Here is a 14,360-nt window from a genome sequence, read left to right on the forward strand (position 1 = left end):
CGTGCTGGCTGTAGGCAGAGGTGGCTTTTCCCCCAGGTTCCTGGGAGCACGTGGTGTTTTATGGTCACCTACCCGGGAACACTGACCCTGGGGCCTCTGCAGGTTTCTTGGCATTGTCACAAAGGGAAGAAGCCCACCTGTGGCTGGCCGGCTGCCAGGTCAGAGCCAAGGCAGGCAAGGCCTTCCTGTCTGGCTTTTTTTTTTTTTTTTTTGAGATGGAGTGTCGCTCTGTTGCCCAGGCTGGAGGGCAGTGGCCCGATCTCGGCTCACTCCAAGTTCCACCTCCCGGGTTCATGCCATTCTCCTGCCTCAGCCTCCCGAGTAGCTGGGACTACAGGCGCCCGCCACCACGCCCGGCTAATTTTTTGTATTTTTAGTAGAGACGGGGTTTCACTGTCTTAACCAGGATGCTCTTGATCTCCTGACCTCGTGATCCGCCCACCTTGGCCTCCCGCCTGCCTTGGCCTCCCAAAGTGCTGGGAATACAGGCGTGAGCCACTGCGCCCGGCCCTGTCTGGCTTCTTGAAGGCAGACACAAGTCTGCAGGCTGTTCACGCCCCCATCTCATTATCTTTTCTCACGGGTACCTCTTCTGATACAATCACAGCAACCCTGGCCTCGGCCCCGCCCTGTCCCTGCCATGCAACTTCACAACTCAGCTGGCCTAGACCCCTGGGAGGCCTCCAAGTCCCTAGGGTTAGACACCTCCTGGGGTGCTATGGACTGTCGGGGCTCCAAGGAGCCGAGTGTGGGGGAAACTCACTGTGGGAGGCGCTCCTGACCTGCAGGGAGCTGGAATGCTGTGGGAGGGCCCTGACCCCGGGGCCCATGGAGCTCCCTAGGCTCCTCTGGCCACACCTCACCACCCACCCCCTCCCCTCTCCAGCAGTTCCAGTTTGTGGAAGTCCCAGGCAATCACTGTGTCCACATGAGCGAACCCCAGCACGTGGCCAGTATCATCAGCTCCTTCTTACAGTGCACACACATGCTCCCAGCCCAGCTGTAGCTCTGGGCCTGGAACTATGAAGACCTAGTGCTCCCAGACTCAACACTGGGACTCTGAGTTCCTGAGCCCCACAACAAGGCCAGGGATGGTGGGGACAGGCCTCACTAGTCTTGAGGCCCAGCCTAGGATGGTAGTCAGGGGAAGGAGCGAGATTCCAACTTCAACATCTGTGACCTCAAGGGGGAGACAGAGTCTGGGTTCCAGGGCTGCTTTCTCCTGGCTAATAATAAATATCCAGCCAGCTGGAGGAAGGAAGGGCAGGCTGGGCCCACCTAGCCTTTCCCTGCTGCCCAACTGGATGGAAAATAAAAGGTTCTTGTATTCTCACTGCTTTTGAGGCTTTTTTGTTGCCAGCAAGGGCTTTTGCATTGAGGGAAAAGGAAGCACAGAACGGATTCATCCAGGGTCCTCAAGGGTGTGGAGGCAAGAGGTGGGAAGGACAAGTCCTCCTCTCGGCACGCCTGGGTCTCCAGGACTGCTGAAGCACAAGACCCGAGGGGTGGCCTGGTCCTTCACTCCTGGCCTGTGTGGACTCTGATGGGGCTGTTGGACGCGATGGCCTTCAACCTGGGGCCCGTTGGCCAGAGCTCGGCCTCTCAGAGACCGCTGCAGGCCCTGCCTCACCTCATGTTCCTCCTGGCCCTGCACCTCCAGCCATCCACTGCGGCTCTCACGGCTCAGTAGGGTCGGAATTTGCGCTGGGCCCGCAGCAGCTCGATCCTCTGCTTGTCCTCCTCAAACTTCTTGCGCAGCTGCGCTAGATCTGGGGGTGAGAGGAGGCGCGGGGCAGGGTCAGACAGCGCGCCCCGGGGAAGCTGGCTTGCTCATGCCCCACCCCTCCTCCCAGTTACTGTGGGGGTGGGGCTATGTCTCCCCCACCAGCCCATCCCCCTCCCAGCTCTGCTGTGGGGGCAGGGTCTGGATCTTGTCAGGAAACAGAACCGACGGCAGGCCAGGCCGAGTCCAAGGGCAAGGCCAAAGTGGGAGATGCTGGCACCCCCAGCCTGGAGATGAAGCCCTAGCGACAAAGCAAAGGTACCCGCCCCCACCCCCATCCCTGCACAGGGGGAAGGAAGGAGTCTTGAGCGCTCGGCCTGGAGAACCCTGAGAATCAGTAAAGGCACCCCAGCCCTTGTGCTGGTGAATGCAGATGGCAACCCTGGTCAGTGGGAGGCTGATGGCACTGAGGGGGAAGCTGAGGGTCTAGAGCGAGCACGAGCGGGAGCCAGGAGGGCCAGCCAGGCAGGGAAAGCACCAGTGACTGGGCGGGCGGCTCAGGGCCTGCCGCAGAGCCCGTCCCTGTGCCCTAGCCAGGGCCAGGAGAACCCTCCCCTGGGCCCACAGGGAAGCTGTTCTGTAGACAGGGACACCAGGCAGTGGGGCAGGAGGCTCAGCCGCAGCACCAGGAGTGGGCCACAGGCGATCGGGCCCACAGGCATGGGAGGGTCCTGTGCGGGGCCACCTGACAGACACACACACACACACACCCACCACCAACCCAACACACATACTCTGCAGCACCTTCTCTGCACCCACAGTGGGTTCAGAAGCCCCCTCTGCACTTGAACGCGTTAGCTGGAGGCTGACGAGCGCCAGCACTAAGTGCACAGGAACCCAGAGGTGGGCACTGATGACCTAGGGTCCCCACCCACTGAGCAAATGCATCTGCCCCTGGGGGGTGATGGGGAACCGCCACACAGGGTGCTGCCAGGCTGGGCCTCTTTCCACAGAGTCTGGTGCGAGCCCCGTGCTTAGGGACGCCCTCCCTCCTCGACCACCAAGTCCAGCGCCCGCCCTCAGGAGCACTGGCCACAGGCCTCATCCGTGGCTGGGGCCAAGGCCGAGGGGTCTGAGGATGGACTCGGGGTGGCTTACGCTCCATCTTGCTCTCTCGATGCTGCCAGGCGTAGTTGAGCAGCTCTTTTTGGCTGCGCTTCCGTCTCTCCCTCTCCAGCACCCGCAAGCTGGCTGCCTCAGTCCGGGGGAGCACAGGCCGCCGGCCCCGGCGGGTCACCTTCACCCAGCCCTCCTCGTCAGGGACCCCCTCCTCCTCCTTGGCCTTAGCTTCTTCCTGCAAGGAAGGTGATCCCATCGTCCGGTGGGCGCCTGGGACCTCCCGCAGCCTCCAGCAGCGCGCCCTCCACGCCCTCCTCCCAAAGTCAGAACTGCCCTGAGCCCCCGCAGGGGAGGGCTGCTCCCCTCCTCCCAGCACAGTGTTGGGGCTAAGGAGGGCGGGGAGGGCACGGACCTGCTGGCGCTGCCTCCTTCTCCACTGTAGACCATGTGGAGACTACATGTGTCACCCAACCAGGCAGCCCAGGATCCAGCAGGGAAACAGGGAGCCTGGCCTCTACAGAGTGGCCAAGGACAGGACACCACCGCCCTCCCTCTGGGGCGCCACCTTCCCACAGCCACACGGGCGACGCGGGGCTCGGCCGACCCCGCGGGGCCTCTACCTCAGCGATCTTCTGGTCATATGCCTCCATGAACGTGTCCACTTCCACCCTCAGGGCCTCAGGGTCGGGCACAGAGTCTGCGTAGTCACTGATCCATTCTGAGGAAAAGGGAGCCAGGGAAACGGGGCTTCCTCAGGCCTGGCATTTGGGCCCCACCCCAGGGCCTGCCAGGCAAATTGGGACCTTTTCCCACAGGGCCCGGGGCACAGGCGCTAAGGAGATCCCAGGGGCTGCAAGCTGCGCCCTCGCTCTGCCTGCCCAGTATGCCTGTGCCGCTCTGTGCCAGGGGCTCAGGCTAATGACTCCCTGGGGACCCAGACACAGCCCCATGGTCCTCCTGCCCAGGCCTCCACATGCTGCTCTCAGGGAGCATGGACTTGGCTTGTGACATTCAGACACTGTCCCCATAGAGTGTCCTGCCAACCCGGAGCCCAGAAAGGAGGCGCCAGACCCCTCCCGCAGTACTAACTGTGAATGCCACTCTTCACAGGGTGGCTCTCTGTGGACACCAGCAGGGGGCCCTTCAGGGCCAAGGCCGCTGACACCCCACTTGGCTTCTGGAACACCACGTAGGCTACCTGGAAACCCTGAAGAGAGAGAGATGTCAGAGGTTGGGGGCTCCTTCCCACGTCTGGCACAAGGTCTCCAGGCCTGCCCTCAGCCTAGGTGGTAGCTACACCAGGGGAGACGGTGCTAGGCTATTCCTGAGCCATGAAGAGAACCACAGGCCATCCCATAATCCAGGTCAGGGGCAGCCACACTTCCAGTGATCCTGCTTCTTCGCGAAGTGACAGCTGTTCCCAACTCCTCCCCAGGAAGAGAGGATACAGAGGCTTCCTTTCTTCCAGTCACGGGAGGGATGCGGTGAAACGCAGGGGTCGCCCTGGGCCACGGCAGGTTTTTGGAAGCCAGGCCTGGGCACACACACCATGCCAGATGCCACTGTGTGGGGAGGAGGTGTGGGCTCCAGGGCCACTGGGAAAGCTGTGAACAACAGTGCTCCTGGAGACCCGGCCCCCAAGCCTGGGGAAGGAGCTCCCTCAGTGGGGAAGCAGGAGGGGAGCCGGGGAAGGCCCTGCAGGTGGCCAGCAGAGACGGTCCGTGAGCTTTAACACGGGACAGAAAAAGCCAGGCAGGAAGTGCAAGGATGTGGCAAATCTGGGAAGGAATCGCAGGCTTTGTCAGCCGGACAGTCTCCTACACCACACACAGTGAGGATGGGCTCAGGACCAGAGAATGCTCTGACGTCCCACTGCCAGCTCCCCTACCACACTGGGGACAGTGCCCCACCACCCCCCTCACTCTAGTGGAACCCAGTGCTTGGCGGCTCACCGGAACTGGCTTTGGATGAAAAAACTTCGACCTTGACTCCCAGCCAGCTCCAGCTTCTCCTTCAACTCTACAGACTGGACAAGGCCACAGGTGGACTGGAGGCAGGACAGGCTCTCCTGCTGCAGGGAGAGGGAAGCCAAGTGTGAGCATCCGCAGGGCCATCCCAAAGCCTCCCTCCACCATGGGTGGCGCTGCCAGGGATCCAGCGCCGCTGAAGGACTCAGAGCCACAGCCACATCTGCCCAAGCCGGGAGACTGTGGGCACCATGGCCTCCGACCTGTTCCCCAGGGACAATATGGAGGTCGATATTCCTGCTCTTTTTTTTTAATTTTTTTGAGTTGGAGTATTGCTCTGTAACCCTGGCTAGAGTGCTATAGAGTGATCTCGGCTCACTGCAACCTCCATCTCCAGGTTTCAAGTGATTCTCGTGCCTCAGTCTCCCGAGCAGCCAGGATTACAGGCACCCACCACCATACCCAGCTAATTTTTGTATTTTGAGTAGAGACAGGGTTCTGCCATGTTGGCCAGGCTGGTCTTGAACTCCTGACCTCAGGTGATCTGCCCGCCTCGGCCTCCCAAAATGCTGGGATTACAGGCGTGAGCCACTGTGCCCGGCACATTCCTGCTCTCTCTCATTGGAGACAGGTGGGGACATTCTTGCTGTTATTCTGATTTCCTATGACAAGTTTTACTACCTGAATCAGCAGTAGCGACCCTATGCTGTGACAGTTGGGATGGTGGTTGTCTCTGGTGGAGGCAGTGGGGGTTCGGGGGTTCTGGGATGTGCTGCTGTGTCTCCACCTGGGTGCTGACTACACAGCTATGTTCTGTCTCTGGGATGCAGCGAGCTGGACACTTGCGACTGGGGCCCTTCCCGGCACACATGCTGCACTTCAAAAAAGGTCAGAACTCACACCCCCTCTTCTATATGCTTCTTTTTTTCTCTAAGTTTAGAGGAATCTTTTACAAATTAGGGTTTCTTTTTTGAAAACAAATCCAGCAATTCCCTTGGCCAGGGGCGGTGGCTCACGCATGTAATCCCAGCACGTTGGGAGGCTGAAGGGGGCGGATTACTTCAGGTCAGGAGTTCGAGACCAGCCTGGCCAACATGGTGAAACCTTGTCTATACTAACAATACAAAAACGAGCCGGGCATGGTGGTGGGCGCCTGTAATTCCAGCTGCTCGGGATGCTGTGGCAGGAGAATCGCTTGAACCCAGGAAGTGGAGGTTGCAGTGAGTCGTGATCGCTGTGCTCCAGCCTGAGCAAGAGAGAGACTCTGTCTCAAAAAAAAAAAAAAAAAAAAAAAAAGAACAAAGAAAAAAGAAAAGAAAATCCAGCAATTCCCTTTAGTTTCTGTAAAAAAAAAAAAAAAGAAAAGAAAAATTAACAGTTGTGTTTGGATAGAATTAGAGGCACTTTTATTTTCTTATACTTTCCTACTTTTAAATTATGGACATGTACAATCTGGAAGAAAACATGTAATTCAAACAACTTTGGGTAATATGCAAAAAAGCCTTGGGCTACTTAGGATTATACTTTTTTTTTTCTTTTGAGAGTCTCACTCTGTTGCCCAGGCTGGAGTGCAGTGGCACGATCTTCGCTCACTGCAACTTCCGCCTACCAGGTTTAAGCAATTCTTGTGCCTCAGTCTCCCAACTAGTTGGGATTACAGGCGTGCGCCACCACGTCCGGCTAATTTTTGGGGTTTTTTGGGTTCTTTTGAGATGGAGTCTCACTCTGTTGCCCAGGCTGGAGTGCAGTGGCATGATCTTCGCTCACTGCAACTTCCGCCTACCAGGTTTAAGCAATTCTTGTGCCTCAGTCTCCCAACTAGTTGGGATTACAGGCGTGCGCCACCACGTCCGGCTAATTTTTGGGGTTTTTTGGGTTCTTTTGAGATGGAGTCTCACTCTGTTGCCCAGGCTGGAGTGCAATGTCGCAATCTCGGCTCACTGCAACCTCTGCCTTCCGGGTTCAAGGGATTCTCATGCCTCAGCTTCCCGAGTAGCCAGGACTACCTGCACACACCATCATGCCTGGCTCATTTTTTATTTTTTAGTAGAGACGGGATTTCACCATGTTGGCCAGGCTGGTCTGGAACTCCTCCCTTCAGGTGATCCGCCCGCCTCATCCTCCCAAAGTGCTGGGATTACAGGCATGAGCCACCATGCCTGGCAGGATTATACTTTTAAAGACATCTTTAAAAAGCCAGTTTCCTGACTGGAGATCACGGTAGCCTTCCTGACACTCTCCTCTGGGGCTCCCATTAGCTATGTCCATCTCACCACCAAGGACTCGGTGGAGGCCATGGGAGCCCCCAGGTCCCATGGGACCTTGAGCCAACAGGTCCCCTCCCAGACACCAGCTCACCTCTGTGCAGTATGGGGGCACATTGAAGACAAAAAGAGTCCTCTTCTGAGGCCAGGTGGACTTGGTGCCTTGTTGAATGCCGTGTGCTCTCACATAGAGGTAGTGAGAAGCCTGTTGCTTTTCAGAGAACTTGATTGGAATAGCTGGAAAGGAAATGGGAGGGGAGGGATGGCCAGGCTACCCTGAGCTGAGGCCAGCGAGACACTCACACAACTTCCTTTCTCCACATCCCTGTCTAGTCCTATCTGTTCATCGATCCATCCATCCCTTCACCAACCCCCCTTACCCTACTCTTTGGCAAAGCCTGTGCGGGCTCTAAGAGTCTGCCCAGGAGGGCCTCCCAAGGCGGTGCAGGGAGAGAGAAGATAAATGGGCAATGATTACAGATGGGGGCGCAATGAGAGGGAAGCTCGAACCCTGCGGCTCTTGGAGTCAACGCCAAAATCCTAACCATGGCTGGAAGCCCCGTGAGACCCTGCCTGTCACTGTGACCTCTTCTTGTACCATCTTCCCCCAGCACCTTGGATTCTCTGTTCCCCCGGGTACACCAGGGCCTCACACATGCTGGCCTCTCTACCTGGCGTGTCACCCTCTTCCCTCCCGCTCACCTCAGGTTTAGCTCAAACCTCGCTTCCTCAGGAGAGCCTTAGCATCACCTCCGCCCCTCCTGCCAGCTCAGATCCCACTGCCTGTGCCTTCACAGCTTCTCTTAACAGTCTGGGGGCTATATTGATGAGATTCTTTGGTTAATCGCTGGCACACCCATGACTGTAATCCTCATAAAGCTAGGAACTGCTTCTATTTTTCTCACACCTCCGTCACAGTACCGGTTGGCATAGAGCTGCGGTCCCTGAACTCAGGAAGCTCAGTTGCAATAACGGAGAAGACAATTAACAAGTAAGCATACAGCAAACTTGTATCAATCGTGAAGGAAACATTACAGGGTGATGGGGTGGCAGAGGTCTTCCTTCCATAGGCCATCACGGATGGCCTCTTTGAGGAAGCAACATTAAAGCTCAGGCCAGAACGCCACTGTGCAACAAACCGGCACAGCACGTGCAAAAACCCAGAGGGGGGAAAAAGCATGTTCCCTCAGAGGAACAGAAAGAGCTTTAGGTCGGCACCAGCCAGACCACGTGGCCCACACAGGTTAAGAAGTCTGGTTTTTGTTTTAGAAGCTACCTGATAAAGCCACTGGAGGGAATGCAGTAGGTGTGGCGCCTATCGTGGGCGCGGCAGACATGATCGAATCTAAATGTCCTTAAAAGAACATTCTGGCACGTGGGTGGAGAACAGAAGCAGGGGCAAGAGGAGAAGGAGGGCAACCGAGTAGGAGGGCCTATAACAGCCCAGGTAAGAGCTGATGGGGGATGGACTAGGAGCAGAGGCGATGAGAAGGGGATGAGCTCACCTGGACAAGCAGGTGTGGACGGAAATGGGTTTGTCCTGGGTGAGAGTGTGGACAGAGGCGGGCTCACCCAAGGGAAGCGTGGACCAAGTTGGGCTCGCCCCGGGAGAGTGAGCAGGCAGAAGGGCGCCGCGTGGGTCCTCGGGACCCCGGAGCCTCAAGACCTGCGGAGCCTGGGGCCACGGGCCACCGGGGCTCACACCCAACCGTGCGGCCGCTCCTGGGGACCCCCGGCCGCCGCCAGCCCCCAAACACCTCCCGGCGATGCTGGCCGCCCCCGGTCTCGCGTTCCGGATCCCCTCACCTGCGTAGCACGGTGGGCTCGGGATACCGTCCTCCGGGTCCCGCGCCGCGAGCTTCGTCCTGCGCGCCACCATCTTGCCACCCGGGAGCGCGGGGGTCGCCGGGAGTTGCGGTTCGGCGCCGGCGCGAGCGCGTTTTTGTGGCGCCTGCCCCGCCCCCTCGCTCCAAGCCCGCCTCCCCGGCCCCGCCCGCCATGGCTCAACCTTCATCCGCTCAGAGGCAAATCAGCGCGCCAAAGTGGGAGTGAATGTCAGAGTCGACCCCGGCCAGTCACGAGTGCGAACTCAGCTTTCCACTCATGCATTCACACGTTGAATAGGCAGTGTGAGAGAAATCCAGGATGGCTGCTAGCTTTTCAGTCTGAGCAACTAAGAGGATGGTGTTGCCATTGACTGACATGGGTAGACTGCAGGAGAGGGGCCAGCTTAGGGAAAATCGAGTAGATCAGTTCTCTGTGGGCCGTGGTGAGATGCCCATTAGGCCACTCAGGGGAGATGTCAGGTGGGCAATCAGATATGAGACTCAATAGTCAACTATTTTTTTTTTTCTGCCGTCTCACTGTGTTGCCCAGGATGGAGTATAGTGGCATGATCACAGCTCACTGCGACCTCTGCCTCCTGGGCACAAATGATCCTCCATTTCAGGCTCCTGAGTAGCTGAGCTAATTTTTCGTTTTTTGTAAAGATAGGGCTTCACTATATTGCCCAAGCTGGTCTCGAACTCCTGAGCTCCAGTAATCTTCCTGCCTCAGCATCCCAAAGTGCTGGGACAAGAGGCATGAGCCACCATGCCAAACCGACAGTCAACTATTTTTTTTCTTTTGAGACAGAGCCTCGCTCTGTTGCACAGGCTGGAGTGCAGTGGCGTGATTTCACCTCACTGCAAACTCCGCCTCCCGGGTTCAAGTGATTCTCCTGCCTCAGCCTCCTGAATAGCTGGGATTACAAGCGCCCACCACCGCGCCCCTCTAATTTTTGTAATTTTTAGTAGAGACAGGGTTTTACCACGTTGGTTAGGCTGGTCTCAAACTCCTGATTTCATGCGATCTGCCTGCCTCGGCCTTCTGAAGTGCTGGGATTACAGGCGTGAGCCACCATGCTGGCCCCAATAGGCAACTTCAAATGTGGTGTCAAGGCTCCCAGAGAATGTTCCAGGCACAGGAAATGGAGAAGTGACCATCTTTAAAAGCCTAGGCACAGAAATGGCAGAGTCACATCTGGTCAAAGTAGTAACAGAGCACACTTGGGTTCAGGAGGGGCACAGGACCCCACCTTCTGGAGAGGAGTATCAAGTAATTTGCATCCCTGGTGGGGAGCAGTGGCTCATGCCTGTAACTCCAACACTTTGAGAGGCTGAAGCAGGAGGATCACTTGTGCCCAGGAGTTCAAGACCATCCTGGGTATCATAGCAAGAATCTGTCTCTATTTTTTAAATAATTAAGTTCCACCCCAAATGTTGAAATCCCTGCAAGATTAAAACCCTTGGCTGGGCGTGGTGGCTCACGCCTGTTAATTCCAACTTTGGGAGGCCGAGGCAGGCAGACCACCTGAGGTCAGGATTTCAAGACCAGCTTGTGCAACATGGTGAAACCTCATCTCTACAAAAATTAGCCAGACATGGTGATGCACGCCTGCAGTCCCAGCTAATTGGGAGGCTGAGGTGGGAGGATTACTTGAGTCTGGCTGCGGAGGTTGCAGTGAGCTGAGATAGTGCCACTGCACTCCAGCCTTGGCAACAGAGTGAGACTTTGTCTCAAAAAAAAAAAAAAAAAAAAAAAAAAGATAACTCAAAGGTAGGAATAACAAATGTTTATTCAGAAATGGATAAGTAATACATAATCACCCTTCATCTCTTAATGCCCCTTCCTCTCCTTCTGCACAGGAGACACAGATGGGTAACATAGAGGCATGGGAAGTGGAGGAGGACACAGGACTAGCCCACCACCTTCTCCTCCCGGTCTCCCAAGATGACTGCTTATAGAGTGGAGGAGGCAAACAGGTCCCCTCAATGTACCAGATGGTCACCTATAGCACCAGCTCCAGATGGCCACGTGGCTGCAGCTGGACTCAATGAAACTCTGTGACAACCAGAAGATACCTGCTTTGGGATGAGAGGGAGGATAAAGCCATGCAGGGAGGATATTTACCATCCCTACCCTAAGCACAGTGCAAGCAGTGAGCCCCCGGCTCCCAGTACCTGAAAAACCAGGTCCTACTGCCTTCTGGATGCTCTCTTGGGCCAGGAAGGGAAAAGTGTGGGAGGAATGTCTTCCAGCTGCTAACGAGAAGTCTGCACCCACTTGAAAGGGTTAGGAGAATAAAAAGCAGCATTCTTTAAAGAACTGCAAGTGGAGCACCACCAGGCCCCTTCCTTGGACTTTCCCGTCCTGGGCAGCCTCAGAGCCTGCACACTGAAGCTGGGTTCAAATCCTGGGTCCTTCCTGCCTGACAGACTGACCCCTGGAAACATGAGTCTCTGGTTTTTTTCACTGGGCTAGCCTCAAGCAAATCTTGGGAGCTCTTGAGTATCTTCGGCATGTGCCTTTTCCAGCACTTGCTACTGATTTTGCAGAGCTCCCAGAACCGTGCTCCCCAACTGGCTCCAGCTCTGCCAGCCTGGATTCTCTTCACTCCCAACCAGCAGGGGACCACTCAGTGACAACACTGGCCTGGTCATTCAGGGACTGCCTGGGCTCTGAAGTTTCGTCCCAACTGTCTGCGCCTATGCTGGGGAAACACCTTGCCTGGTAGAGCTGCCCTGCTCCCTTGACTCCTCCTCCTCTGCCAAGGCAGGAAAATAATCCTCTGGTCATGGATGGATGGGGTCACTCACATAAGTGGGAACAAACAGTGCCCCTTGGTGGCAGCTGGATATATGCCTCCAGGCATCCCTGACCACTGTCCTGTAGACAACTGAGGCCAGAAATGGAGAGCCAGGAACAAACTGACCTCTTCCATTCAAATAAGCTCCAAACCCAAGCACTGCACAATGGGAGGCTGAGCCTTTCAAAGGCCCAACCAGAAGAGAGCTGGCGGCTACACAAAACCAGGGTGTGGTTAAGTGCCAGGCGAGGTGAGAACCGGGAGGGCTCACAACACAGCCCCCTCCCAGCAAAGACACCCAGAAGGGAAAGAGAGCTGGGGTGGGGCATTCAGCACAACTCAAGGAAAAGGGAAAGGTGAACTCTGGAGAACTTCCTCTGGGTGGAGACGACACGGGACTCCAAGCCAAGAGCTTAGATAGACTCTTCCCAGCGGTGCAGCCTCATCCTGCCCTTGCCACTAGTGAGGCCTGGAGCCACTGGGGAGAGGACAAGAGGCCTGAGACCTGCTCCCCACCCAGGCACCTCCACTGACAAGACAGAGGAGCGGCACAGCTCTCAGGCCGACCTGGCTCCCGTCAGGACACCAGGGCTCTCCATCCCCTCCATTGTTTGAAAAGCTTAATACACACAAAGGAAAGGCAGCCCCTCGGCCCCTGGAAAAAGCAGGGTCCTTCAGACAGCCCCCACGCTGCATCCCATGGGGCCACAAGAAAGCCACCCAGAGAATTCAGTGTACCATTTCCAGATAAGAAATCAGCTTGGGGCTGAGGCTCGGGGAGGCACACACTGAAAAACACAAGCCTACCTTGGCGATGAGATGAAGAAACATACTACAGGAAACGTTAACGTAGAGAGAAGAGCACAGGGCAGAACACAACACAGAAAGGCGGGTCCCATCCAGTGAGGAAGCTCTTTATCCCTGGCAACCCTTCCCACAATCAGGGGTCTCCAGTCCGATGGCCCATTGGTCATAAGCTTTGCCTTGGGGAAACAGAGCCACCCTCCTCTGCCCCCACTTCTGGCTGCCTCACTCCCCTGCTCAAAGCTTGATTTTGAATTCTGTGGGCTGCGTGGTCACAGAGGCCCCTGAGGACTTGAAGAGTGCCTTCAGGATGGTGTCAGGGTCCACTTCGGCAGGGGGGTTGGAGGAGGAGGCAGAGTTCACCCTGCGAGGCAGCTCGCTCTCCTTTTTCATTGATGGGCTGTCACTCAGCCGCCTGTGGAGAGCAGAGAAGAGTCAAAAATTCTTGTCAGTTTTTCCTTAGATGGGGAGGGGACCCACCATTTACTGGGCATCTGTCATGAGCTAGGCACTGGGTGTAACACTTTCCATACCCCTTCATCTCATTCCACCTCGCAGCAAACTCAATCACAGCTCACATCAGCCTCCATCTCCTAGGCTCAAGCAGTTCTCCTGCCACAGCCTCCTAAGGAGCTAGGACTACAGGCGTGTACCACCATGCCTGGCTCATTTTTAAAATTTTTTGTAGAGACCAGGTCTTGCTATGTGGCCCAGGCTGTGTTTTTCTTATTTACTGATGAGAAAATGGAGACGCAGGCAGTGCTGTATGTTCTAGGGTTTTGTGGGGTTTTTTTGAGACAGAATCTCACTCTGTCACCCAGGCTGAAGTGCAGTGGCATGATGATGGCTCACTAGTCTCGATCTTCCAGGCTCAAGCGATCCTCCCACCTCGGCCCCCCAAGTAACTGGGACTATAGGTGCATGCCACCACACCTGGCTAATTGTGGTTTTAAGTTTAGGAAACACTGCATGTTCCTTCTGGATGGTAACATCCATTAGCATATTACACAATCTGAGAAGCCCGAAAGTGAAACAGATGTAACTCTGTTTAGCCCAGTAGTTCCCAAACTTATTAGGTTACAAAACCCTAAGAAATATTTCTTATTCCTTGAACACAGTTTAAGAACTTATCCAAATCACATAATTCATTACCCAGGGTTCAAATCCTAGTCTTTTTAAATCTCAAAGTCTATTTCAGCCCTGCCCCACACTATCCCACTCACCCTGGCAAGTCTAACCTCCTCCCTGGTATCTGCTTCCTTATCTAGAAGGTGAAGTCCTCACAGTCTCAACATTTTATGCATCTCAGGCTTCAAAACATCCCTCAGTCCTGGGCCAGGCATGTATACTCAGCTGTGTGCAACAAAAGCCTTCAATGGCTTCCCACTGTACTTAAAAGCCAAATCCAGCTGGGCGTGATGGTGTGCGCCTATAGTCCCAGGTCCTCAGGAGGCTGAGGGGAGAGGGTTGCTTGACCCCAGGAGTTTGAAACCAACCTGGGCAACACAGTGAGACTCTCAAAATAACTGAAAAAGCAAAAAACAAACAAACAAACAAACAAACAAAAAACCTCACTGGGGAACAAAATAAGGGGTAGCATCTGGCACTGTCTCCATCAGAGCCAATCATGCAGTGGAGTTCTCTGTTCCCGGGATGATGCACACAGCTAGGAGACCCAAGCAGCCTCCCCCTCCAACTTCCACTCAGATATTTCTAAATCAGAAAGCTGAGAACGAGATCATAATGCTAGTCCCTATAGGGTCAAGCCCTGGGGAAATAACAAAGCAAACCATTTTGGTCAAGTTTAAGCATATGAAACGGCCAGCTGCCATTAGAACAGAGGAAACGGAATGGGG

General features: G+C 55.6%; 2 protein-coding genes and 1 pseudogene across 15 annotated transcripts in view, besides 1 other annotated feature; 1 reads left to right on the forward strand and 2 right to left on the reverse strand.

The window, feature by feature from the left end:
• Window positions 1-1,333, forward strand: part of SERHL2 (serine hydrolase like 2) — a 20,427-nt gene extending 19,094 nt beyond the window's left edge. For 6 of the 9 annotated variants that reach the window (NR_104300.2, NR_104301.2, XM_024452196.2 and 3 more), the window contains one exon: window positions 887-1,333. Coding sequence is in view for 7 of the 9 variants with exons in the window: in XM_024452196.2 (XP_024307964.1) it covers window positions 887-1,006 (120 nt within the window). In the remaining 2 variants the exon portion in view is untranslated. The remainder of the gene's footprint in view (window positions 1-886) is intronic. The other 3 variants (XM_047441295.1, XM_047441298.1, XM_047441299.1) reach the window with 1 other exon arrangement.
• Window positions 195-8,962, reverse strand: RRP7BP (ribosomal RNA processing 7 homolog B, pseudogene; annotated as a pseudogene). Its single transcript, NR_002184.2, is given in 7 exon segments — window positions 195-1,769; window positions 2,882-3,077; window positions 3,463-3,560; window positions 3,932-4,049; window positions 4,795-4,913; window positions 7,168-7,310; window positions 8,880-8,962. The product of NR_002184.2 is annotated as a ribosomal RNA processing 7 homolog B, pseudogene (transcript).
• Window positions 8,725-8,934: a silencer, noted in NCBI's record as "silent region_13831". NCBI's record gives its function as "represses an Ori minimal core promoter by ATAC-STARR-seq in GM12878 lymphoblastoid cells {active_cell/tissue: GM12878}" and the evidence as "EXISTENCE:reporter gene assay evidence [ECO:0000049][PMID:35858748]".
• The window catches only part of POLDIP3 (DNA polymerase delta interacting protein 3), a 31,163-nt gene continuing 27,474 nt past the window's right edge, over window positions 10,672-14,360 (reverse strand). For all 5 annotated transcript variants that reach the window (NR_103820.2, NM_178136.3, NM_001363052.2 and 2 more), the window contains one exon: window positions 10,672-12,919. Coding sequence is in view for 4 of the 5 variants with exons in the window: in NM_178136.3 (NP_835237.1) it covers window positions 12,742-12,919 (178 nt within the window). In the remaining variant the exon portion in view is untranslated. The remainder of the gene's footprint in view (window positions 12,920-14,360) is intronic.

The sequence above is a fragment of the Homo sapiens genome, chromosome 22 (assembly GCF_000001405.40).
Source record: "Homo sapiens chromosome 22, GRCh38.p14 Primary Assembly".
In the NCBI taxonomy this organism is placed as follows: domain Eukaryota; kingdom Metazoa; phylum Chordata; class Mammalia; order Primates; family Hominidae; genus Homo; species Homo sapiens.